The 26,533-nt window shown below is 41.9% G+C and overlaps 2 protein-coding genes across 6 annotated transcripts in view, besides 2 other annotated features; one reads left to right on the forward strand and one right to left on the reverse strand.

Moving 5' to 3' along the window:
- Window positions 1-1,979: 1,979 nt before the first annotated feature.
- NDUFB1 (NADH:ubiquinone oxidoreductase subunit B1) lies at window positions 1,980-7,563 on the reverse strand. 2 transcript variants are annotated; one of them, XM_047431421.1, is made up of 4 exons: window positions 7,499-7,563; window positions 7,053-7,256; window positions 3,355-3,499; window positions 1,980-2,086 (listed from the first exon to the last, which is right to left on the reverse strand). In XM_047431421.1, the coding sequence occupies exons 3-4, from the start codon at window positions 3,492-3,494 to the stop codon at window positions 2,050-2,052; spliced, it is 177 nt and encodes a 58-aa protein (XP_047287377.1). In that variant the 5' UTR covers window positions 3,495-3,499; window positions 7,053-7,256; window positions 7,499-7,563; the 3' UTR covers window positions 1,980-2,049. The 2 variants fall into 2 exon arrangements, with proteins under 2 accessions (XP_047287377.1, NP_004536.3); NM_004545.4 differs by lacking the exon at window positions 7,053-7,256.
- Window positions 5,994-6,983: an enhancer, noted in NCBI's record as "H3K27ac-H3K4me1 hESC enhancer chr14:92586481-92587470 (GRCh37/hg19 assembly coordinates)". NCBI's record gives its function as "activates a minimal SCP1, AML or CMV promoter by ChIP-STARR-seq in naive H9 embryonic stem cells {active_cell/tissue: H9 hESC(naive)}" and the evidence as "EXISTENCE:reporter gene assay evidence [ECO:0000049][PMID:30033119]".
- Window positions 7,564-7,923: an enhancer, noted in NCBI's record as "active region_8927". NCBI's record gives its function as "activates an Ori minimal core promoter by ATAC-STARR-seq in GM12878 lymphoblastoid cells {active_cell/tissue: GM12878}" and the evidence as "EXISTENCE:reporter gene assay evidence [ECO:0000049][PMID:35858748]".
- Window positions 7,826-26,533, forward strand: part of CPSF2 (cleavage and polyadenylation specific factor 2) — a 50,177-nt gene continuing 31,469 nt past the window's right edge. For 2 of the 4 annotated variants that reach the window (NM_017437.3, NM_001322270.2), the window contains exons 1-7: window positions 7,826-7,985; window positions 11,979-12,037; window positions 16,808-16,990; window positions 19,868-20,027; window positions 20,107-20,212; window positions 21,224-21,353; window positions 24,089-24,204. In NM_017437.3, coding sequence (NP_059133.1) covers window positions 16,842-16,990; window positions 19,868-20,027; window positions 20,107-20,212; window positions 21,224-21,353; window positions 24,089-24,204 — 661 coding nt within the window. In that variant the 5' untranslated portion in view covers window positions 7,826-7,985; window positions 11,979-12,037; window positions 16,808-16,841. Of the gene's footprint in view, window positions 8,209-11,978; window positions 12,038-16,807; window positions 16,991-19,867; window positions 20,028-20,106; window positions 20,213-21,223; window positions 21,354-24,088; window positions 24,205-26,533 lie in introns of all 4 variants that reach the window. The other 2 variants (NM_001322272.2, NM_001322271.2) reach the window with 2 other exon arrangements.

Below are 26,533 nucleotides of genomic sequence, written 5' to 3' on the forward strand. Positions count from 1 at the left end.
CTTCCAGACCTTGATCTCTCAACCACTGAACTGCTTTGTTACTGCAGATTGCTGTTTATAACATTTTCTATTTATATAAACAGAATCCTATAGCATGTGTTCTTTTTTATCTGGCTACTTTCATTCAGCACTGTTAGTTTGAAATTCATCCATATTATGTATCAATAGATCATTCCTTTTCATTGCTGGGTAGTAGTCTATGATATGGATTCAACACACTTTATCCATTCCTATGTTGATAGACATTTGGGTTATCTCATTTTTGGCTGTTACTAATCAAGCTGCTATGAACATTCATGTAAAAGTCTTTGTGTGGATATATGCTTTCATTTCTCTTGGGTAAATAAATCAGACTGGGATGGCTGGGTCAAGTGGTAGGTGTGTTTTACCTGAAACTGCTAAACTTATTTCCAAGGTGGGACAACCACTGGTGGCTACATTTTATATTCCTGCCAGCAGTGTGCCTTCTAGCTGCTCTACATCCTTGCCAACAATTGGTAGTCAGTCTTTCAAATTTTAACCGTTTTATTTTTACTTATTTAAATCTATTTTTTGAGACGGAGTTTTGCTCTTATTGCCCAGGTTGGAGTGCAATGGCATGATCTTGGCTCACTGCAACCTCCGCTCCTGGGGTTCAAGTGATTCTCCTCCCTCAGCCTCCCAAGTAGCTGGGATTACGGACATGCACCACCACACCCGGCTAATTTTGTATTTTTAGTAGAGACGGGGTTTCACCAGGTTGGTCAGGCTGGTCTTGAATTCCTGAGCTCAGGTGATCTACCCGCCTCAGCCTCCCAAAGTGTTGAGATTACAGGCGTGAGCCAGCCTAATTTTAACCATTTAATAGGTGTGTAGTGCCATCTCATTTTGCTGTTAATTTCCATTTCTCTAGTGACTACTAATGTTGAGTATCTTTTCATGTGCTTACTTGCCATCCTCTTATCTCTTTTGGCAGTGTTTGTTAAAATCTTTTGCCCATTTAAAAAGTTAAGTTGTTGAAGGTGGGTGCAGTGGCTCACGCCTGTAATCCCAGCACTTTGGGAGGCTGAGGTGGATCACGAGGTCAGGAGATCGAGACCATCCTGGCTAACATGGTGAAACCCAGTCTCTACTAAAAATACAAAAAATTCGCTAGGTGTGGTGGCAGGCACCTGTAGTCCCAGTTACTCGGGAGGCTGAGGCAGGAGAATGGTGGGAACCCAAGAGGCGGAGCTTGCAGATCACACCACTGCACTCCAGCCTGGGCGACGTAGCAAGACTCCGTCTCAGAAAAAAAAAAGTTAGGTTGTTTATTCTTAAGCTATAAGGATTGTTTACATATTCTGGATGTGTTTTTCGAAGAGCAAAATTTTAAATTTTGATAAAGTACAACTTATTTTTTAAATTAATTCATGTTTTGTGTGTTGTATTTTAAAAATCCTTGCTTCCTGTGTGTATCCTACATTTGGAAAAAGGAAAAAGCTTTGCCAAAGCTAAGGTCACTTAAAATTTTCAGTATGTGATTTTTATCAAATAAAATCTTGGCATCATCCTTTTTAAGTCCCGTTGAAGCACAAGGTTTGAAATTTTTTTTGAAAAATATATGATAAAAAATTTGCTCCATGATTTAATAATACTGTGGTTCAAAATGAGAAACAGCAAATTAAATGCTAATTATAAATTTAATACCACGGTATACAATCAGGTACCTAAGAGTTATTATTTTATTTATTATTTATTTTTGAGATGGAGTCTCACTCTGTTGCCTGACAGGACAGGTATGCACCACCATACCCGGCTAATTTTTTGTATTTTTAGTAGAGACGGGGTTTCACCATGTTGGTCAGGCTGGTCTGGAATTCCTGACCTCAGGTGATCTGCCTGCCTCAGCCTCCCAAAGTGTTGGGATTACAGGTGTGAGCCACCGCGCTGGGCCCTAATAATTATTTTTTAAGTATGCTTGTTACCAGAAGGGCTACCTTTGTATGAAAAGAAAGACATTTCAGATTCTTCATGTTTTTATTTCTCTCAGAACTTTAAAATGTGAACATTCGATAATCTAGCCAGTCTTTACTTCCAGGTAACTTCTTCACTGGGTTGCAATTCCCTGTGTGGAAAGCAAAAAAGGAAGAAATGGAAAAACTGTAAATAAAACTGTGATACGAGATAAAAGGGGAAGTCAGAAGAATGATTGCAATATTTCATTTTCTTTTTTTTTTTTTTTTTTTTGAGACGAAGTCTGGCTTTGTAGCCCAGGCTGGAGTGCAGTGGCACGATCTTGGCTCACTGCAAACTCCACCTCCTGGCTTCAAGCGATTATCCTGCCTCACCCTCCCAAGTAGCTGGGATTACAGCTGTGTGCCACCACACCGAGCTAATTTTTTATATTTTTGGTAGAGACGGGGTTTCACCATGTTGGCCAGGCTGGTCTCGAACTCCTGACCTCAAGGAATCCACCTGCCTCGGCCTCCCAAAGTGCTAGGATTACAGGTGTGAGCCACCGCGCCCGGTCAATATTTTATTTTCTATTACACCGATCCATTTAAAAAATTTACATATTAGATTCATCATATGTATTCTTTTCATTCATGATTTTAACTTTTACCATATTGTTAGCTTCATTTTTCTGGGTTAAAGAATTGTAATTACTTAGTTTATCTTTATATGAAAGCTATTATCTCTGCTCAGTGAGTTCATTCGAAATGTTTTCTAAACCCTTTCCAGCTTATTTTCTTTCTTGAAATCCCTGATTTGTGAATCACTTCTACCATCTCTCCATACCCACTGTGGATGCTGCTCAGTTCTCTTGCCCCTCAGGCTTCCTCCTACCCAGCTGTATGCCCACTGGCAGGCATCCTGTCTTGCTAACTGGAACTCTCTGCTGCCAGAGGAGCCATCTCTAGAGGCACAATGGGACCAGGCAGCTGCCAGTTGCTATCACTCTACCACCAGGTCTAAAGCTCTCAGGTAGTGCTGCTAAGAACACAGCACCTAGCTGCTGTTATTACTATTTATCTCAGCTATAGCATGTCTTAAGTAAGATAATATATGACAATATATGTGGAAGCTGTATATAAGCTAGGTTTTGGCCAGCTACTTTTAAACTGTTTCTATATTAAAATGCACTTTGAATTAAAAAAAGACGATACTTTCAAAGACCTGAAACAGCCTATTCATTAAATGAAGACTTTAAATTCTAGAGGTAATCATACTGTTTTATCCAAGGATTCAATAACAAACAAGACTAAAAACAGTATCATTTGAATCTAAGTCCTCAAGGGGGAAAAATTACCCCTTCTGTTTATTTTTGGCACATATCAAAAAGAATATTCCCCAAATTTGGCCAATTGCTGGTTTAAAAAAATGCAGACTAACCTTTTAAATAACATACTCTTGTTCCGGAAGGCAGTTAGCCGTTCATCACTCTTTCTGTCTAAATAACATCCAATGACAAATCCCATAGGGACAAGAACATGAACCCAGTGGTCCCGCACAATCTGAAGTAAGTTCACCATGATAGCTAAAAGAAAAAAAAATTATCAGAAATACAACTGCTTTGTTTTTTTTTTGAAATAGCTTTTAAATTGCATCTGGGCCAGGTGCGGTGGTTCATGCCTGTAATCCTAGCACTTTGGGATGCTGAGGTGGGCAGATCACTTGAGATTAGGAGTTCGAGACCAGCCTGGCCAACATGGCAAAACCCCATTTCTACTAAAAGCACAAAAATTAGCCGGGTGTGGTGGTGCGCGTCTGTTATCCCAGCTACTGGAGAGGCTGAGGCAGGAGAATTGCTTGAACCCAGGAGGCGGAGGTTGCAGTGAGCCAAGATCGTGCCACTGTACTTCAGCCTGGGCGACAGAGCAAGACTCCATCTCAATAAAATAAATAAATTGCATCTGAAACAAGAAGATGATAGACATAGATGTAATAGATGTTAAAAGCCTAATACGCCTCTTTGTTTGCCTGGCATCAGAATGTAGTATAATACTTTAAAATCTAATTGATGAAGATTACATACGGGACAATGATTAATATAAAATTACACCACACTGGGTCTATTTATTACATTTTACTACTAGCTTCAATAGTGATGTGATACGATACAGAGCAGAGAAACAGAGATGGTATGTAAAAAAATTCTACCTGCAACAGCTGATTGTTTGCACCCTCCTCATGTTGTTTTGGAACTTTTTTTTGTAAAAGAGACAAGGTCTTGCTATGTTGCCCAGGCTGGAGGGCAGTGGCTATTCACAGGCACTACAGCTCTCAACTCCCGGGCTCAAGCATTCCTCCTGCCTCAGCCTCCCAAGTAGCTGGGACTACAGGCATACACCACTGCACCTGGCTCTCATTTAGGACTTTTACTTGTGTAAAACATATTTAGAACCTCTCACAATGCAAAAACAAATTTAATACAATTTTGCCAGAAATGGAATTCTTTAGGTAAAGCTGTAATTACTGAAAACTAAATTTAGAAAGGAAATTAAAAGATATGAGAGAAAAAAGAAAACTATATTCAATAATGTCACTGTAGATATGAATATAAATTACTCTAAAAAAGGTAAAGGGGCCGGGTGTAGTGGCTCACGCCTGTAATCCCAGCACTTTGGGAGGCTGAGGCGGGTGGACGACAACAAGGTCAGGAGTTCGAGACCAGCCTGGCCAACATGGTGAAACTCCATCTCTACTAAAAATACAAAAATTAGGTGGGCGTAGTGGCACATGCCTGTAGTCCCAGTTACTCAGGAGGCTGAGGCAGGAGAATTGCTTGAACTCGGGAGGCAGAGGTTGCAGTGAGCTGAGATGACGCCACTACACTCCAGCCTGGGGGATACAGCGAGTCTCTGTCTCAGAAAAAAAAGAAAGAAAAAAAAAGGCAAAGGGAGAAGAAAATTTACTTTTATAGAGTGACTACTAGGTGGCTCATGCCTGTAACCACAGCACTTTGGGAGACTAAGGCGGATGGATCGCTTGAGCCTAGGAGCTTGAGACTAGCCTGGTTAACATGGCAAAACCCTGTCTCTACAAAAAATCAAAAAATTAGCTGGGTGTGGTAGTATATGCCTGTAGTCCCAGCTACTTCGGAGGCTGAGGTGGGAGGATTGCTTGAGCCCAAGAGACGGAGGTTGCAATGACCTGAGATCACACCACTGTACTCTAGCCTGGACGACAGAGCGTGATGCTGTCTCAAAAAAAAAAAAAAGACTACTAGGTTACTAGGTACCAGAGCCATCATCTATTTCTATACGTAATGTGAAATAACTATTATTTACATTTTACAGATAAGAAAACAGCTTAATCCAAATAGCTATTAAGTACAGAGCTGGAGTTCAAATTCAGCTTCACTCTACAGCTCTGGCTGCTATTATAGCCCATGCCTAAGAAACCCCTTCCTGAATTGATGTTTATGGTACTTAAAAGCTTTTAAATGCTGAGTTTCCAGAAGGTAGATGAGGAGGAATAGAACTATAGGTTTTTCCTTATCCGAAATGCTTGGGACCCGAAGTGTTTTCGATTTTTTGATTTTGAAATATTTGCATGCACATAATGAGCTATCTTGGGGATAGGACCGAATTAAAACATAAAATTCATTTGTGTTTTATATATACCTTATACACATAGCCTGAAGGTAATCTTATATGAAACTTTTTTTTTTTTTTAAATAGTCTCGCTCTGTCACCTAGGATGGAGTGCAGTGGAGTTATAATAGTCCACTGCAGTCTTGAACTCCTGAGCTCAAGTGATCTTCCCACCTCAATCTTCTGAGAAGCTGGAGCTACGGGTGCTAATTTAAAAAAATTCTTTAAACATTTTTTTTTGTAGAGACAAGATCTTGCTATGTTGCCCAGGCTGGTCTCAAACTTGTGGCCCCAAGTTTCACATATGGGGGCATTTTGGATTTCCAACATTCTGATCAGGGATACTGAACCTGTAATAGACATCATGTGGAAAATAAATTGCACAATTCAATAAAAACATAGTTGGATTGCCAATTTTCTGTAAAAATTCGTGCATACAGATGAATTCAAAATACACCTGTGTGCGTTTGGACTAAACTAATAAATCATGTACAATGACTAAGAAGACATATGACAACATCCTAGAAAGACAATACATTATTGCCAACAAAAGTGCTTAGCACTAAGCTGTGCTAGGACTATGTAGACTGAATTTCTGCCTCTCCTCTTACACTGGCATGCTTATACAATTCATACTTTTTTCTTTCCTTTTTTTTTTTTTATTTTGAGACGAAGTTTCGCTCTTGTTGCCTAGGCCGGAGTGCAATGGCGCAATCTTGGCTCACAGCAACCTCTGCCTCTCGGATTCAAGGGATTCTCCTACCTCAGCCTCCCAAGTAGCTGGGATTACAGGTATGCGCCACCATGCCCAGCTAATTTTGTATTTTTGGTAGAGACGAGGTTTCTCCATGTTGGTCAGGCTGGTCTTGAATTCCCAACCTCAGGTGGTCCGCCCGCCTAGGCCTCCCAAAGTGCTGGGATTACAGGCGTGAGCCACCGCGCCCGGCCGTTCAAGTGATTTTCTTGCCTCAGCCTTCCGAGTAGCTGGGACTATAGGCAGGTGCCACCACGCCCGGCTAATTTTTGTATTTTTAAGTAGAGATGGGGTTTCACTGTTGGCCGGGCTGGTCTCAAACTCCTGACCTCTTGATCCGGCCACCTCGGCCTTCCAAAGTGTTGGGATTACAGGCGTGAGCCACTAAGCCTGGCCATACTTTTGTCTTTTAAAAGGCAAGGTGGGCCAGGTGCAGTGGCTCACGCCTGTAATCCCAGCACTTTGGGATGCTGAGGCGGGTGGATCACGAGATCAGGAGTTCGAGACCAGCCTGGCCAACATAGTGAAACCCTCGTCTCTACTAAATATACAAAAAATTAGCCGGGTGTGGTGGCGGGCGCCTGTAATCCCAGCTACTTGGGCTGCTGAGACGGGAGAATCGCTTGAACCCGGGAGGCGGAGGTTGGAGTGAGCCGAGATTGCACCATTGCACTCCAGCCTGGGTGACAAGAGTGAATCTCTGTCTCAAAAATAAAAAAGCAAAGTAAAAGGGTAAGCACATCATTTAGGCGCAACGGTGTCGGCTCAAGAGGATTTGCGATTTGGAAGAGAGCGAGGTTAGCGAGAAGACAGAAGGCTGGAACTTGGACGAATGTAAGCTGCTCGCGGAGGGGAGGCAGCGTCTTCCCTGCTTCAGGCCAGGCGTGGGATCCGGGCCGGTCTTCTCTCCAGTCCGGTTAGCGGGCGGTCACTGGGTCACATCTCTACGGACGTTTTCCTGTTATGACAGCCTCAGAAAACCCTTTCCAAAAGCTCCGGCCCGGAAATCCCATCCTCCACCCGAAGAAAACCCCATTTTCCTTTCCCGTCACCTTCGTTCGGAAGCCCCGGGGAAGCCCAGACCACCCCTCCACACATGCACAGCACCGAGGGCTTGCCTAGAACCCTCCCCGCCACCGTCGCCGTGATCCTCGTCGCGGCGGCCCCCCGGGCTCCCCAAACCCACCTGCAGCCTCAGCGCCTACAGCGACCCCGAGACCAAGGGCAACAGGGAACTCAACCCGCGCCAGTGGAAGCTGCGACCTCGGGACCTGCCATTCGCCGCGCCCGCACGGAGCAGAGGGGTGACGCCAGCAAATCATACTACTTTTTCCTCCTCAGGGTTGACTCCTCTCATTTTTTTTTTTTTTAGCTTCCAAACATTACCAATAATTTCTGAATAAAATTTCGCTCCAGACAGACGAGGCGTGCAGGCGTGACCGCCGTCGCCTTCCGACAGCACCGTGCCCACCCCCCGGAGATGGTCTCGCCCTGGTTCCTCCTCGTCTCCGCCGCTAGTCTCCAGCTCCAAAATGGCGGCTGCCACTGTGGGGCTTCTGCCGGCCGGTAGTCCCTGGCGCTGCTGACCCAGCATCGGCTTTTCTACGTCTTGAACCTGGATTCGCCTAGGGGTTGGGAAGGGCTGTGGACGGCGTTGGGGGAGGCCTGACGAGGCAAGTGAGGGCGGGAGAAAGGAGCGAGCCTCGGGCTGGGGAAGGCGGCGTCATTGGCCCTCCGGGAGCACGGGGCCCCGACTCCGACCCGGTCTCCCCCGAGGACTCGCCCCCGCCGCTTCGGCTGCGACTGTCCCGGTCGTTCCCGGCAGAAGTGGTCAGCGAGGGAAAGAGAAGTGACTTCTCCATGGGTTTCAAGCTCCCAGCTGTTTTGCGGCAGCCCGTACGGTTCCCTCCCGGGATCTTCTTCCCTCCTTTCTGCTTCCCTCTGCTTCCCCTTTCATCTCTTGGCGCTGGAAGAGTTAAACCGACGCCAGCTTTAGCTCCTTGGCTTCGTGGCTACGGCGTTCTTAGCCTCCCCTGCTCGGGCTCTTCCCGTCGTTTTGGGTTGAGAGACCACGAGGTTGCTAAGCTCTGGACACCGCTTAGGCGTCCTTTTAGTTCTTCGACTCCAGAGACCTTTCGGTTGTTTGTACCACACTGTACTAAAAGGGTCTTGGGCCTTCGCGCCCTCCCGCCATCGCCCTCCAGCGCTTCCACTATCACTGCGAAGTTCTAATTCTTTTTTGACTTCGTACTATTTTACGTGCTCTTTAGAAAAGAAGAGGTCAGATTGAACCCCGGCAAGTCTGGCTTCCTGTGACCAGGCGAACCTGAGCTATCATTTATACCCATCCCCTAATTTTTAATTTTACAACCCCTTTAACCCCTTTCTTTTTTCTTTCTTTTTTTTTTTTTTTAATAAAGACGGGGTTTCACTATGTTGCCCAGGCCGGTGTCGAACTCCTGGGCTCAAGAGATCCTCCCATTTTGGCCTGTGCTGGGATTCCAGGCGTGAGCCACCATGCCCGGCCTTGCAACCCCAGTATGAAACTGGGGCTCTCCCTCAACTGACCGAGAAGAGCCTTCCCCACTCAGTGAGCTCCAGGGCTAACCCAAACTCCTCTGTTTTCCCTTGGATTTTGCTTAGTTCACCTTAGTTGTCATCAACATGCACGGTAATTATTTTTTATTTTTGAGAAGGAATCTCGCTCTGTCGCCCAGGCTGGAGTGCAGTGGCACGATTCTCGGCTCACTGCAACCTCTGCCTCCCGGGTTCAAGTGATTCTCCTGCCTCAGACTCCCGAGTAGCTGGGACTACAGGCGCGCACCACCACGCCCACCTATTTTTGTAGCTTTAGTAGAGACAGGGTTTCACCTTGTTGGCCAGGATTATCCGCCTGCCTCGGCCTCCCAAAGTTCTGGGATTACAGGCGTGAGCCACCGCGCCTGGCCGATTTATTATTTGAGACCGGGTCTCGCTCTGTCCACCCAGGCTGGAGTGCAGTGGTGCCATCTCAGCTCACTGCAACTTCCGCCTCCTGGGCTCAAGTAATCCTCCCACCTCAGCCTCCCAAGTAGCTGGGGTCACCAGCGCAGCCACCGCGCCCGGCTACTTTTTTGTGTTTTTAGTAGAGAAGGGGTTTTGTCATATTGCCCAGGCTGGTCTGGAACTCCTGAGCTCAAGTGATCTGCCCTCCTCGGCCTCCCAAAGTGTTGAGATTAAAGGCGCAAGCCACTGCGCCCGGCAACATGCACGATTATTATTAAGAGGGCAAGTAACTGTGAGATATTTGCGATGAAGTAGTATCTGTCAAAACCAGTGCTCTGAAGGAATTTATGATATGATGAGGCTTCATTCCTTCTTGCAGTACCCATTTATGCTGCCTTGACCACTGAAGTTGGTATTGGATATACAAAGATGATCACTTTTACTCCTCTATACATTGAACATCCATTCAACAAATACTTTATGTGCCTCCTTTATAACAAAATAACTAACTTTGCCTAGGGCAACAAAAAGGCTTTATAAAGGAGTAAATATGTGAGCTGGGTCATATAGCATCAAAAGGAATTTGCTGAGCTCAAAAGGAGAAGGTAATTTCGGGATTCAGTACAGGAATACAGAGCTTTGAGAAGCTTTAGCATACTTAGGGAGAGTGGGATAATCAACCTGCCTGAGCATTTAGTGCACGAGTGATTGGTGAAGCAAGAGGTAGGTTAAGATCAGCTTGTGAAGGATCTTGGTTTCCAATAGGGAGTTTAGATTTTTTTCAGTAGTTACCAGGAATCCAGTGGATATTTTGTGCAAGGAGTGAGCAGGAGGATATTTGTTTTTTTAGGATGGTCTCTGACAGCTATATGGAGGATCAACTGGGAACAGAAAAACTAGATGAAAGGAAATGGGCAATCATTCAGGTAAGGCAATGAGGGCCTCCATGGAGGCAGGACATAAAGGAGGTCAGAGAGACACTAAGTAAATGTCAAATGGGATTCACCTGCTGACTGCTAAGTTAATGGTAAGAAGGTGACTTGAGTTTTTAGTCTGGGAGAGTAAATGGTTGGCAATACTATTAAAACTTAGTCTGAGACATGTACATAAACATAGGATGGTGCCAACCTGCACTTTAGGGGTGACAACATGATGCTCTATAGTGTAAAGCATTGGTTTTTATGGTCTGGAGTCTAGATCTGCACTGTTATGGTAGTCACTAGCCACATGTAGCTATTGAGCACTTCAGATGTCGTTAGTCTATTTGAAATGTGCTGTAAATATAAAATACACAGTGGATTTTGAAGATTTAATATGAAAATGTAAAATATTCAACATGATTACATGTTGAAATAATATTTTGGTTCTATTGGGTTAAATAAAATTCATTAAAATTCACCCGTTTCTTTTTCACTTTTCCATGTGGCCATGAAGAAATTAAAAAGTACATTTGTGGCACGCATTATATGTCTGTTGACAGAGCTGTTCTAGTCTAGACTAGATGTGGGAATTTGTAAGGAGGTGGAACATGAGCTGGGCCTGAAGACATTGAGCAGTGATGTCAGGGTGGCTTCCTGGCAACCTCCATTGCCAGTTAAGGCATTTGGTTTGTCTTTTCTCAAGCAGTAAGAAGCCTTCAGAGATTTCTGAGCAAGGGGTAATAGGTGCAGGGTATTTCTGAAGATGAATCTGGTAGCAATGTTTAGGTTGGATGAAGGGAGGAAATACTGGAGGCAGAGAAACTGAGAAACCCAAACATAAGGTAGTGAGGCCCTTCCTGTATTAGGGTACTGGCAGTGGGATAGAAAGGGAATGATGTGCAAAGCGTTCCTGAGGGAAGAATAATCAGGAACTGGTAATAATAGACTGTCCCAGAAGTGAAGAATCAGCATGTAGCATTTCAAACCTTGGTTACTTAGATAACAACTAATATATTCATGTCGCAGAGCTATAAAATACAATTTGAGACTGAAGAAATTTGGTCACAAGATAGAATCAGTAACGTTAGGAAGGGGTGGTCCACTAAATACTTTCGCTTTTTATCTCCCTGCTTTCTGTATCATCTCATCAATCATACACACCAGCTAATATCCCCAAAATACAGAATTACCTGTATCATGCCATCTTTCTACTTGATAATGAGTCTTAAAATGTTTCTGTTGCCTGCAGGACTAGGTTCACAGTTTCCAAGGCCTTTCACTATCTGGCCCCTTTCTGTTCATTAGGCCTTATCTTTTATTTTTTGCTTTTGTGAATGTTTTCCAGGCTAGTTTTTTCACTGGTACTTTAAAACTTACTCAAAAGTGTAGAGATCTGAGATGTCTGGTATTCCTTTACTCCTGTTACTCCTCTGTTTTGAGTACCTTCTCTTTGTTTCTACCCATGTCTTACCAATCCTTAGTGAGTAATCTTAAATCCCACCTCTTCTATGATTCTCAATAACATAAGGTAATGTCAACTTAAAAAAAAACTTCCTAAATATTTTTATGTCTTTTATTATCTGTTATGTAAGCTTAAGATTCCTAAAATTAATGACAGATCTCTTTTTTAAAAAAGGACCACGTATTATACTACTTGCTGCTGCTCCTGATGCCTTAGGGCAAGATACAAATTAAACACCATAATTATAAACAGAATGAAATCATAATACCACATTCATAAGGCTTTTATTTATTTTTTAGATTAATAAAGAACTCTTCAGAATTCCTGGTGTTTCATCATATATACGACTAAGATATCAGTAAGTAGTGAATGTTTGATAAAGATATAGCTTTATTATGAATAATTGTAGTGAAAATATCTTTTCATCTGTTGAAATCTTGGTCTGTCTGCAAAACAGTTTTAATATGAACTTACTCAGTTCTAGCTGCAAGATACCTTGCATGTTACTTCATAATCTAAATGAAGAAAGTGGGAATTAAGGAAGACTTAAGTAGAAAAGAGTTTCCCTTAGGCCATTAATATAATTGTGGTACAGTAAGCTTTTTGACAGGGATAATTTCCAAGGTCCTTTCCAAAATTGTATTTATAAACGTTTTTCATCAAATAGAGAATTAATGTCTTTGTACCCCAAATAAGAACACATGAAGGCCAGGCGTGCTGTCTCACACCTGTAATTCCAGCATTTGGGGAGGCCAAGGTGGGTGGATCACTTGAGCCCAGGAGTTAAAGACCAGCCTGGGCAACATAGTGAAACCCTGTCTCTACAAAAAATTAGCCGAGTGTGGTGGTGCGTGCCCGTAGTCCCAGCTACCCAGGAGGCTGAGGTGGGAGGATCACTTGAGCCCAGGAGGTTGAAGCTGCAAATGAGCCATGATTGCACCACTGCACTCCAGCCTGGGTACCAGAGCAAGATCCTGTTTCAGGAAACAAAAACAAGTCAATATATTTTAAATTTTAACTTACCAACAGTTATTTATTGAACAACCACTATGTGCAGGGATGTGCTAATGTACTAAGGATAAAAAAATGGATCAAGCCAACTCCTGTACTCAGAGAGCTCTCCCAAGCAAGGGCAAATACATGTGGATGGGTTCTGGTTTATGGTGTGGTAAGGACAGTGAGCTTATTTAATACTAGCCATGCCCCATTCCTTCCTTTAAGAAACATTTATCGGCTACCACTGTATATTAGGCACTGTGGAGGCGCTGGAATGTAACTGTGATGAAAACAGAGAAGGTCTTTACCTTCATGGAGTCTGCATTCCAGTGTGGGCACAGGAGGGGAGAAGGTGACAGACAAAGCAAGTAAATAAATAAGTAGCAATTAGAGAGCACTAAGTATTTTGAGGGAAATAGAATGATGTTGTAATGGATGTGAAGAAGGACTTTAGGGTGGTCAGAGAATGACTACCTCTGAGAATGACTCAGAATAAATTAGAGACAGGGAAAATATATATAAAAGTTAGAGGTTTTGGTCACAGTGAAGAGAGAAGAAAATTTGAGAAATATAATGAGTTGTTATGAAAGTATATCACTGGAAGTGTTTTATAAAGGTCATTGATAAACCTCTATACAACTTAAGCCAATGGACATTTCTCTGGCTTCTCAGACTTAGTGCAAATGGGAGGTGAGGAAGTGGAGATATATCTGTGGACAAATATTCTGAGAACTTTTGCTGTGAAAGGGAAACCCAAAAATGATGTAGTGGTTGTTGGGGGTTGAAGGGTTAAGAGAGGGTTCTTATAAGTTGGGAAATTCTAGAGTATTTTTATAAGCTTGTGGGAATGGTACATCAGTGATACGTTGATGCAGGGGAAAGAGCGAATGACTGAAGATGTCAAGTCTTTCAGAAGGTGAATAAGAATGGGATCAACGGCACACATAGAGGGATTGGCCTTGGATGGGAGCAGGACTATTCTATACAACAGGAGACCCAACAGTGTACATGCAGATAGGTTAATAGATGTAGTATCTGGAAAATGAGAAATTATTGTCTAATTTTATTTTCTGATTGAAGAATGAAATGAGATTATCAGCTGAGACTAGGGTGGAGGGAGGGATGGGTGATCTTTGAACAAAGAGGAGGAGGTGTGGAGTAGTAGTCTCAGAAACTGAAAGTCAACCTACTAAGAAAAGTCAGATTGAAGGGTAATACTTACGGCCTGTTTGAGGCCTTTGGCCATGAATTTAAAGAGCAAATAGCGTTAGCCAGGTGTGGTGGCAGGTGCCTGTAATCCCAGCTACTCGGGAGGCTGAGGCAGGAGAAATACTTGAACCCAGGAGGTGGAGGTTGCAGTGAGCTGAGATCTTGCCACTGTATACCAGCCTGGGTGACAAGAGTGAAACTCTGTCTCAAAAAAAAAAGAAAAAAAATGGGCCAGGTGGATCATGAGGTCAAGAGATCGAGACTATTGTGGCCAACATGGTGAAACTCCGTCTCTACCAAAAAGAATTAGCTGGGCGTGGTGGTGCATGCCTGTAGTCCCAGCTACTCAGGTGGCTGAGGCAGGAGAATCACTTGAACCCGGGAGATGGAGGTGGCAGTGAGCCAAGATCGTGACACTGCACTCCAGCCTGGCAACAGAGTGAGACTCCGTCTCAAAAAAAAGCAAATAGCACAGCTGTAATTCTCCTCCATATCCCATCCCCCCGCCGGCCCTGCATGATTGGAGTTAATCAGGACTGGGGTTTTGCCAGCCTAGTAGAGAGAAGTACCTAGAGGAGCAAGACATTTGAGTGTTTGCAAATAATGTTAACAGATCATGAATTGAAGGTGAGGACCTGAGTAAAAACAGGAGGGGGTCATGGATAGGGAAAAAGTAGTCAGCGAATTAGAGAGATACCACTGACCCCAGAGGATTTTTGCAATGGGAATACTAGAGTAAGTAAGGTGTTAGAGAATGAGATGCTTGAAGTGAAATTTTGAAAGTAGAACAGTTACTGGTAGTGATAAGGTCTAGGGTGTAATCGTAGTGGTGGGTGGCTGAAGTGAAATGATTATTGGAGTTGAGGAAGTCAAGGAACCAACAGGTCAGTATTGAAGTTACTGAGAGGAACAACGGGTCATGTAAAAGTCCTCAGTGAATGAGGCCAGGTGAATAGATGCCATAGTGAAGAGGAAATGTGGAAGACTAATAGTGAACTGCTGGGTGGCAAGAGCTTTAATGGGACTAGACTATTTGAAAGAGGAAAGAGAAGACATGGTTTAGAAGCTGCAGTGAGGAGCAAGGAACACATACCTCCTGCTTTTCAAGTACAGGGGGTACAAGAAGTTAAAACAACAACAACAAAAAACCTTGAGAAGGCCGTAAGAGGAAGAGTATGATGAGGGAACAGCCAGGTACCTGGGAAGACAAGCAGGTGAAGAGAATTTTCAGAGAAGCAGTTGCAGTTACAGGTGAGTATGATCACAGTTCCAGAGAGCATCCTGAAAGGATTTGAGAGGGAGAAGAGGTAGGGGATTAGGTCTTACTGGGAGACGTACACATCGTTGATAATTGATAACCTAGCAGTCTTGTGATTTTGGCTGTCACTCAGATAAACAAGGCTGGGAGATGTGGTGGGTTTAGCAGCCCCTGTCAGCCTCTTATGAAAGGTGGATATTCAGTTTACCTTAGTTTGTTGATGGCCTTGAGTAGTGGTAAGAAATTATTAGGTAACTCGGTGGCCTTCTCTCCTACTTGCATAGTTAGCCAGGAAAAGCTCATTTATTTTAGGGAGCTAAAATCTGAAATGTTGCTGTGGAGTTGAACTTTGCTAATGAATATTTTCATAACTTCTGCTTAATAGCACACAGTTCCAGGTTCTAAATCCCATTTTTAAAAAATGTATATATTTTATTTTATTTATTTTTTAGATACAAAGTCTCACTTTGTTGCCCAGTCTAGGGTACACTCTAGGGTCTCACTCTGTGCCCAGTCTAGTGGCGCACTCATAGCTCACAGTAACCTCGGACTCCTGGGCTCAAGCAATTCTCTCATCTTGGCCTTCTGAGTAGCTAGGACTACAGGTACATGCCACCAGCCAGTTTTCTTATATTTTTTTTTTGTAGAGACAGGGTCTCACTACATTGCCTAGGCTGGTCTCAAACTCCTGAACTCTAGCAGTCTTCCTGCCTCGGCTTCCCAAAGTGCTGGGATCACAGGCGTGAGCCACCGTGCCTGGCCTGTAGATGTGTTCATGTTATATTTTCCTGAAATATATGTAGTAGGCATCCCAATTTGCATTTCATCAGATATATGTTGAAGCGTGCATCAGGTTCTATTTAGGGAGTTGCAAACATATGCCACCTATGTTTTTCAGTTGCTCACATTCCAATGCAAGGGTTCTTAATGTTAAACTCCCTGAAAAGTTTGTGAATTTCTACGTGTATATGTACTCTTGTTTTTTGTTTGAGTGTGTTGAGAGTTGGTGGGGGAGGGGGAGGGTCCATAGGTTTTTATCAGATTCTCAAGGGGATCTATTTAAGGACCACTGGTCTAATTAATGGGAGAGAAAGACATGTAAACTAATCATTGTAATACAGTGAAATCAGTGCCATCACAAAGCAAGATAAAAGAGGAAGAGATTCACCTTGAAGGATGAGTTCATTAATTCCTAAACATTTATTTATTGAGGAACTTGGATGCAGTAGTATCTGTTATAGGTAATTTATACATTATTTGAAATACTTCAACATTGTTTTTACATGTATACTAATACTAATGTTTTATAGACTGAGATACATAGGTGAGGAAAGTTTAATTAACTTGCTTCAAATCACATAGAAGTAGATTCATATATGGGTCTATTTGATTGCAACATTCACTACCCCACTAGGGAGCCACTAAAGGGCTCATTGTGTCTAAGATTATCTTTGTGCTTTTAAACTTGGCAGTGACTTAATAAACTTGCTTTCACTTAAAAAAAAAAAGTAAACTTGGCAATGATGGAAATGGGCCTTTAAACTGCTTTTCGTGTTAATGGAATTTCTATGCACTTAAAGATTTGAAATAATTTTAATCAATTTGTTTATTATATATGCCAGACTGTGCTTTTATGTTTAATTATGTTTTCATTTCATTTGAAAGACTCTTCTAGCTTGCTGTTTCTGGACCAAAAAAAATGACGTCTATTATCAAATTAACTACCCTTTCTGGGGTCCAAGAAGAATCTGCCCTTTGCTATCTTCTCCAAGTTGATGAGTTTAGATTTTTATTGGACTGTGGCTGGGATGAGCACTTTTCTATGGATATTATTGATTCCCTGAGGAAGTAAGTTACATTTCATAATTCTATGTTTTTATTAAATCAACTTCTCTTTTCTGTACTGTAATACCATTTCGATGTGATAAATACTGCCTTTTTACACTAGTTTATAGCAAAAGGCTTAATTTTACTTATGCCAAAAACCTATAGTGACATTTTAACTTGTAAAGTTTTGATTGACTTATAAGCTTTGCTTGTTGAAATTCAGCAAAATCTTAAGCTAATGGATTTCAGTAGAAACTTTTGCATGCTAATTTTTGGAAAGAACAAGAATACATAAGAATTTGAGAAGAGGAAACATTTTCCATGTGAAAGTTCTGTGGTCAGATCACATTAGCTTACTTTCTACATCTTTTGATGCTTAACATTGTCAGCTGGTTCTCAGAATGACCATGAGATACTGATTCATCAAAAAAAAAATCAATTATGGGCTGGGCACAGTGGCTCACGCTGGCAATCCCAGTACTTTAGGAGGCTGAGGTGGGCAGATCACTTGAGTTCAGGAGTTCGAGACCAGCCTGGCCAACATGGTGAAACTCCAACTCTACTAAAAATACAAAAATTAGCCGGGTGTGATGGTGTGCACCTATAATCCCAGCTACTTGGGAGGCTGAGGCAGGAGAATTGCTTGAACCCAGGAGGCAGAGATTGCACTGAGCCGAGATCGTACCACTACACTCCAGCCTGGGCGCAAAGCAAGACTCTGTTTCAAAAAAAAAATAAGATAAAATAAAAAGTCAATGATGTTTGCAGTATTATACTAATTTTGCAAGAAAAGAGGACTTAAATATTTAAAAAACTTTAGAACTTGAGAAAAAAAATCCAAACCATTTTATTAATTTCTTGTGTTGATGAGAACATATGCTTCCCTGATTAACTGAAGTTTTACTATTCAATTAGCAAAACTGTCTGTGGTTACTATGCGAAAAAGCTGGGACAAAAATCCATTATAAGTATGTGGCCATATAAATATCCTCTCCTTAATAATTTCTGAAATTCTTCTCTTTTATTATTATTTTTTTTTGAGATGGAGTTTCACTTCTGTTGCCCAAGCTGGAGTGCAATGGCGTGCTTTTGGCTCACTGCAACTTCCGCCTCCAGGGTTCAAGTTATTCTCCTTCCTCAGCCTCCCAAGTAGCTGAGATTACAGGCATGCACCACCCGGCCGGCTAAGTTTTTGTATTTTTAGTAGAAACAGGGTTTCACCATATTAGCCAGACTGGTCCCGAACTCCTGACCTCAGGCGATCCACCTACCTCGGCCTCCCAAAGTGCTGGGATTACAGGCCTGAACCACCATGCCCAGCCAATAATAATTTCTGAAATTCTAAGCTGAGTTCTTGAACTTAAATTAATAGTTTGCGACCAGGCACAGTGGCTAATGCCGGTAATCCCAGCACTTTGGGAGGCCGAGGCGGGCAGATCACTTGAGGTCAGGAGTTCGAGACCAGCCTGACCAAGATGGTGAAACCCCATCTCTACTAAAATTACAAAGATTAGCCAGGCATGGTGGTGCATGCCTGTAATCCCAGCTACTCAGGAGGCTGAGGCAGGAGAATCACTTGAACCTGGGAGGCGGAGGTTGCAGTGAGCCAAGATCGCACCATTGCATTAGAGCTTGGGCAACAAGAGTGAAACTCCGTCTCAAAAAAAAAACAAAAAAAACAAAAAGAGTTAAGTGAGGCTGGGTGCGGTGGCTCATGCCTGCAATCCCAGCACTTTGGGAGGTGGAGGAGGGCAGATCACCTGAGGTCAGGAGTTTAAGACCAGCCTGGCCAACATGGTGAAAGTGTGTCTCTACTAAAAATAAAAAAATTAGCCAGGTGTGGTGGTAGACACCTGTAATCCCAGCTACTCAGGAGGCTGAGGCAGGAGAGTTGCTTGAACCGGGCGGTGGAGGTCGCAGTGAGCCGAGGTTGCGCCAGTGCACTCCAGCCTGGGCAACAGAGCGAGACTACATCTCCAAAAGAAAAAAAATAGTATGCAGGATAGCTATTAAAAATCAACTTATGGCCGGGCGTGGTGGCTCACCCCTGTAATCTCAGCACTTTGGGAGGCCGAGGTGGGCGGATCACCTGAGGTTGGGAGTTCGAGACCACCCTAACCAACATAGAGAAACCCCATCTCTACCAAAAATACAAAATAAGCTGGGAGTGGTGGCACATGCCTGTAATCCCAGCTACTCGGGAGGCTGAGGCAGGAGAATCGCTTGAACCTGGGAGGCAGAGGTTGTGGTGAGCCGGAGATTGCGTCATTGCACTCCAGCCTGGGCAACAAGAGCAAAACTCCATCTAAAAAAAGAAAATCAAGTTACTTGTGTCTACTGTTCTTTTTTGTTTTTGTTCTTGTTTTTATTTTTAGGCAGGGTCTCACTCTGTCACCCAGACTGGAGTGCAGTGGCATGATCTCATCAAGGTCAACCTCCTGTGCCCAAGTGATCCTCCCATGTCACCCCTCAAGTAGCTGGGACTACAGGCTCATGCCACCACCCCTGGCTTTTTTTTTTTTTTGTATTTTTTATAGAGAACGGTGTTTTGCCATGTTGCCCAGGCTGATCTTGAACTCCTGAGCTCAAACGATTTGCCTGCCTTGGCCTCCCTAAGTGCTGGGATTACAGGTGTGTGCCATCACACATGGCCTTCTTTTCTGTTTAAAATGTGTGTACACACCATATATTTAAGTGTACCTTATACCACATTTTTTGTAGCTATGGAGAGCACAGGTAGTAATAATTGAAATTCATAGGTAATCATAATTTTAGCTCTTAGTTTTGCTCTTCTGCCCCAGTGTAGTCTTCAATCCAGAATTGGTGAATAATTTTGAATATTCTGTCTTTACCCTTAAAAAGATTCAAGAAGTAGTCCTTTGGATTGTGTTCTTGTAGGCATGTTCACCAGATTGATGCAGTGCTGTTGTCTCACCCTGATCCTCTCCACCTTGGTGCCCTCCCGTATGCTGTCGGAAAGTTGGGTCTGAACTGTGCTATCTATGCAACCATTCCTGTTTATAAAATGGGACAGATGTTCATGTATGATCTTTATCAGGTAATTTAAGCAATTAAAAAAATTTTGTTAGCACTCCTTCAGTGATTGTTTTTCACCTTTATTTGTGTTATTCTTTTAGTCTCGACACAATACAGAAGATTTTACACTCTTTACATTAGATGATGTGGATGCAGCCTTTGATAAAATACAGCAGCTAAAATTCTCTCAGATTGTGAATTTGAAAGGTAAAAAGAATTTCCAGTAGTAAGTATTTAGATGAATGGGGTTTAACTTGCTGGAAAATACCGAGGAGAATTCAGAGAGAAAATTATAGGCATTATAGGCTGAAGAATAAAAAAGTTAGCACATTCTGCCTTGATACAGAACTCTTAACTTCCATTTGAATTTTAAAATATTTCAGAAAAAATGCTAACAGAATGTTAATAGCTCAGGCCTTTTCATATTTAACTTGGGAAAAACTCATTTAGTGTTTACTGTGTACAATAAACAAAAGATAATGTGGCCATTTCCTCTTCCTCAGAGCTTACAGTTAGATTGAGGCAACAAAGTAGCTGAGATGGCTAAATGTAGTGATTGGGGTAAATGAAGTGCTATGGCAGCAGAGTAGATAATGAATTCTAGCATTGGACGTTAAAAAGTTTATTATTGAATTAGGAAGTCCTATACTAAGTCTATATTTATCATCTACAGAGATAATTGTATTAGATATTTTCATAGATATGAACCCTGGCATTGATAAAATGGTGCAATAATGGACTCTGAAGATTTAGCCCAGAAATAACAACAGTCTCAACAGTTTTGCTTCTAGTTAATTTTTCTGCAGGATAAATTCTTTAGCACAATGAGATTTAAATTATTCTGTTAGTTTAGACGTTAGCAAAAATGGAAACATTTGGTAACTGTATATACAAAATACACATTAAAATTTGCTAGTTCATACTAAATAATTTAATAGTGTACTAGCTTTTAAATCTAATCTCTAGCCTTGTACTTATAAGCACAAATAACTCTACAAGATTACATAATATAGTAACAAGAATGTTTGCCTCTAGTGAGGGAGTGGAGTAGGTGGGGGACAGGAGAGTGAAGCCTGCTTTCACTATATGCATTTTTACTTTTGAAATTTGTATTATTGCATATACAGTATTACCTATTAAAATATTATAGTTGAGAAATAAATAACCTTTCTTTAGGGTTGTAAAAGAAATCTGAGTATTGTTATCTTGTTGACATAGGTAAAGGACATGGCCTGTCTATCACACCTCTGCCAGCTGGTCATATGATAGGTGGAACAATATGGAAAATAGTCAAAGATGGAGAAGAAGAAATTGTTTATGCAGTTGACTTCAACCACAAGAGGGAGATGTAGGTATATCAAGAGAAAAGCTAAAGGCAATGCAATTGGTATTATTTTATTCTTTGGAGAAAAAATAAGAAACACAGTTTTTGTTTTGGTTACCAGAAATTTAGAGCAACTTAAAACCGTCAAATAGGGAGTGTTTTCAAAATTAATTATTTGCATAGTAAGGGGGAAAGTATGGTATAAGACATAAGAGATTTTAAAAATTTATAGGTTAAGTATACACTCTACAAAACGGGTATCTCCCTGGAGATGTTGCAAAGGAGATGAATTTTTTACGTATCAAATTACATGTTCTTGACCTGCTATTTAACACAACTTTGTGGATGGGTTGTTCTTTTGTTTTGTAACGTGATATGGTTTGGCTCTGTGTCCCCACCCAAATCTCATCTTATAGCTCCCATAATTCCCACATGTTGTGGGTGGGACCCGGTGGGAGATGATTGAATTATGAGGTTGGGTCTTTCCCGTGCTGTTCTTGTGATAGTGAATGGGTTTCACGAGATCTGATAGTTTTAGAAACAGGAGTTGCCTTGCACATAATGTAATTACCATCTAATATAACTGCCCTGTATGTTTAAAGTTAGTCCCTTTGAAAGGGAACTCAATTCTAGTTATGATTTTACACACTTCATGTGGCACTCAGAGCATTACTATATAATATTTTGGTGTTTAGTCTCTTACAGGCTCGTTTTGTTTTATCTGTACATTAAGTTCATAGCTATTTTGTGTTACATTACAATAGTCTCAGGATCTTTATATTAAGAAATATTTAAGACAAATAGACTGAATTTTAGACACTTATAACCATAGATTAATGAGGAAAGGATGGCTATGTTGCAGGGCAAAAGAGTGAGGGTCGTGATCAACTCAGTATACCACTGGAGGCTATATGAGTAAACAGCAAACTGTTCGCATAAACGCAGAAAATTGGCAAACTGACAAACTGTGTCTGCCACCCAGAAGGAATGCTGAGGGCAGTCAGGCCTCAGGTGCAGGTGTTTCTTGTGATTAGACACATCTGAAGCCTGTTAGCAGTAATGTGAACCTGTGATCAATTAAGCAGCTGACCAATTGTTACCTCGTCCTCCCTGCTCTTTCTACCCAATAAATATGAAGGGCTGTAGAAGCTGAAGGCAGCTCCCTTTGCTCACTAGAAGCAGGGAGCTCTCTTCTTCTTCTCCTGACCCCTTCCTTTAAAATAGTTACTTTTGTTTTAAGTTTTCATTTCTGCATTCGTCCTCCTTCGTTCAGTCTCGTAGTAACCGTGGCAAACTGCAGCATGGCTATTTGAGTAAATGGTATTGAAGGATTCAACCATTTTGGAAAAAAATCAATTTGTGTCCTTTTAATTATATAACAAAAGAAATTTCAGATGGATTAGAACTAAATAGAAATGAAGCAATATTGGTGAGTCTGATCTCTGATTTGGAAAAGACTTTGTAAGCATAAAAATAATGAACCAAGTTACAAAGTAAAAGTTTGATAGATTTGATGACATACAGGTTCAAATGTCTGAAACAACAAATAAAAAAAAAAATCAAAGTAGGAAAATATTTGCAGCAAGTTGCCCAAAAACTTACAACATATATATAAGATCAAGTATTAATTTATTAATAAAAATATACCAGTTGCAAGATGGACAAAAGTTATAAAGTCAAAAGAGAAAATTTAAATGATCTTTTTTTGTTAGATACCATTAAAATTATTATTATTCTTATTTATATTTTTATGTATTTTTTTGAAACAGAGTCTCACTCTGTCACCGAGGCTGGAGGCACAATCACGGCTCACTGTAGTGTCGACCTCCCAGCTTCAAGCAATCTTCCCATTTTAGCCTCCCAAGTAGCTAGGACTACAGGTGCGCTCTAACATGCCTGGCTATTTTTGTAATTTTAGTAGAGATGAGGTTTTGCCATGCTGCCCAGGCTGGTCTTGAACTACTGGGCTCCAGTGATCTGCCCACCTCTGTCTCCCAAAGTGTTGGGATTACAGGCATGAGCCACTGCACTAGTCCAAAATTATTTTTAAATGGTGATTTTCTTCTGGGAAGTATGTAGAATTGGTCAGTCTTTTTGATTGAACTTTTCTGGATGAGGTTAAATCTTGCTGGAAAGCCTTTTAGCAGTACTATGTATTAACAGTAAATACATTTTTAGGAATGTGACCTAAAGAAACAATCAGAAATGCAATTGAAGCTTTTGTAAAAAATGTTCTTTGGAAGATTATAATGGCAAAAATAAGTGACCGAAATATCAGTAAAGGGAAAGGATCAAATACAGTGTAGACACAATAAAATGTTTTTATAACTGTTAAACATTTAGTTTAGAAAAAAATTTTTATGTCCTGGGTAAAAACCAGGATATAGAACTGAGCGTATAGGAATGTATATGGGATATCAGCTTTGTAAAATACATATGTATATCAGTACTTACCATAAGACAGGGCAAAAAGAAAAATAAAAAAAATACATATGTGCATAGAAAAACTTATATGGTTAGCAGGATGTACACCAAAATATTATGTCAGTTATCTCTGAGTAATGGTACTCTGGAAGATTTTTATTTTCTTCTTTATACTTTTTTGAAGTTACTGGATTTCTTATCAATGAGCATGTCTACTTTTATAGTTAGAGGAGGGAACACCTTATAAATGAAGCTGCTTATTTTTTAAGTAAGAGAAGCTATTATTGTTTACTTGAAATGATATAAAATATTCCTCTTCTTAAACTTTCTTATAGCCATTTAAATGGATGTTCCCTGGAAATGCTAAGCAGGCCTTCCCTACTTATCACAGATTCATTCAATGCTACATATGTACAGCCTAGAAGAAAACAGAGAGATGAGCAGCTTCTGAGTACGTATTCTTTCACGTCCTTATTATTATTATTATTTTGTAACTTTTTGTATATTTAGGGAATATAAGTACATAAAAGTACAGGTTTCTTTTTTTTTTTGAGACGGACTTTCGCTCTTTCACCCAGGCTGGAGTGAAGTGGCGCGATCTCGGCTCACTGTAACTTCCGCCTCCTGGGTTCAAGTGATTCTTGTGCCTCAGCCTCCCGAGTAGCTGGGATTACAGGTGTGCACCACCACGCCCAGCTAATTTTTGTATTTTTAGTGGAGACAGGGTTTCTCCATGTTGGCCAGGCTGGTCTTGAATTTCTGACCTCAGGTGATCCACCTGCCTTGGCCTCCCAAAGTGCTGGGATTACAGGCATGAGCCACCACGCCCGGCCACAAGTATAGGTTTCTTAATGCATACGTTGCACAGTGGTGAAGTTTGGCCTTTTACTGTATCCGTCTCCAGAATCGTGAATGTTGTACCCAATGTATAATGTCCTTTTCAAGGAGCTGTGGAAATGCATGGTAGTGGGAATGACTGTATTCTGTTTAGCACTTTTCTTGGTCATAAGAGATTGGTTAACTTTAGTATTTTTGAAAAAAATATTATGTGACCATCAGTTTTTGTATAAGAAGAAACTTAGCTGGTTTGAATTTAACTTTTGTGGAACAGTGTGTAAAGATTGGCTTCTTTTTGCCAGTCAGTACATAGCTAGCTATCCCTGGCACTCACTGGCATATGTCTGTATGTAAAGACCTCGTACAAATCTATTAGAAAAATATACTCTAAAAGAAAAATGAGGCCAGGTGCAGTGGCTCACGCCTGTAATCCCACCACTTTGGGAGGCTGAGGCAGGCGGATCATGAGGTCAGGAGATTGAGACCATCCTGGCTAACACGGTGAAACCCCGTCTCTACTAAATATACAAAAAATTAGCCGGGCGTGGTGGCGGGTGCATGTAATCCCAGCTACTCAGGAGGCTGAGGCAGGAGAATGGCGTAAACCCGGAAGGCGGAGCTTGCAGTGAGCTGAGATCTGGCCACTGCACTCCAGCCTGGGCTACAGAGTGAGACTCCGTCTCAAAAAAAAAAAGAAAAATGAACAAAGAGCTAAGTGGATAAATGAGGCTGTAAATATTCCACTAATTTTGGGTGTTTTACACTTTAATATAGTAGGCCATTGCTGCTTGCTTCATCTTACATTCTTTTTTTTTTTTTTTTTGAGATGGTGTCTTGCTCTGTTGCCCAGGCTGGAGTGCAGTGGCACAGTCTCGGCTCACTGCAACCTTCACTTCCCGGGTTGAAGTGATTCTTCTGCCTCAGCCTCCCAAGTAGCTGGGATTACAGGCATGCGCCACCATGCCCAGCTAATTTTTATATTTTTAGTGGAGATGGGGTTTCGCCATGTTGGCCAGGCTGGTGTTGAACTCCTGACCTCAGGTGATCCTCCTGCCTCAGCCTCCCAAAGTGTTGGGATTACAGGCGTAAACCACTGCACCTGGCCTTATATTCTTTTTAAATAAGCTATAAGGGATTTCAGCAGGGAAAATTGGATTCCATTTTTAAACATGTTTTCAACCATTGTTTTTAGTTCATCTACTTTAAAAGTACAACTATTTTTTTTTTTTTTTTTTTTTTGAGATGGAGTCTTGCTCTGTCGCCAGGCTGGAGTGTAGTGGCACAATCCCGGTTCACTGCAACCTCTGCCTCCCGGGTTCAAGTGATTCTCCTGCCTCAGCCTCCCAGGTAGCTGGGATTACAGGTGTGCGCCACTACGCCCAGCTAATTTTTGTACTTTTAATAGAGACGGGGTTTCACCATGTTGGCCAGGATGGTCTTGATCTCTTGACCTTGTGATCCGCCCACCTCGGCCTCCCAAAGTGCTGGGATTACAGGCGTGAGCCACCGCGCCCTGCCACTAAAAGTGTAACTATTAATAATATACCGTGTTGCACCAACTTTAAGAAGCTCAAGCCAGACACTGTGGTTCACGCCTGACATTGTGGTCAATGGTCAACACTTTGGGAGGCTGAGGCAAGATGATGGCTTGAAGCCAGCAGTTCAAGACCAGCCTGGGTAACATAGTGAGACCCCCATCTCTTTTTTTTTTTTTTTTTGAGATGTAGTCTCGCTCTGTCGCCAGGCTGGAGTGCAGTGGCGCGATCTCGGCTCATTGCAACCTCCACCTCCTGGGTTCAGGTGGTTCTCCTGCCTCAGCCTCCCGAGTAGCTGGGATTACAGGCGTGTGCAACCATGCCCGGCTAATTTTTTGTATTTTTAGTAGAGACGGGGTTTCACCATGTTGGCCAGGATGGTCTCGATCTCTTGACCTCATGATCTGC

The sequence above is a fragment of the Homo sapiens genome, chromosome 14, assembly GCF_000001405.40.
Source record: "Homo sapiens chromosome 14, GRCh38.p14 Primary Assembly".
NCBI lineage: Eukaryota > Metazoa > Chordata > Mammalia > Primates > Hominidae > Homo > Homo sapiens.

What these genes read in the sequence shown, in the direction of transcription:
- NDUFB1 (NM_004545.4), bottom strand. Translation starts at nt 3,494, where the DNA reads ATGGTGAACTTACTTCAGATTGTGCGGGACCACTGGGTTCATGTTCTT. An exon ending in AAGAGTATGTTATTTAAAAG is followed by an intron (nt 2,087 to 3,354) that starts GTTAGTCTGCAT and finishes CTTTCCACACAG; the next exon opens with GGAATTGCAACCCAGTGAAG.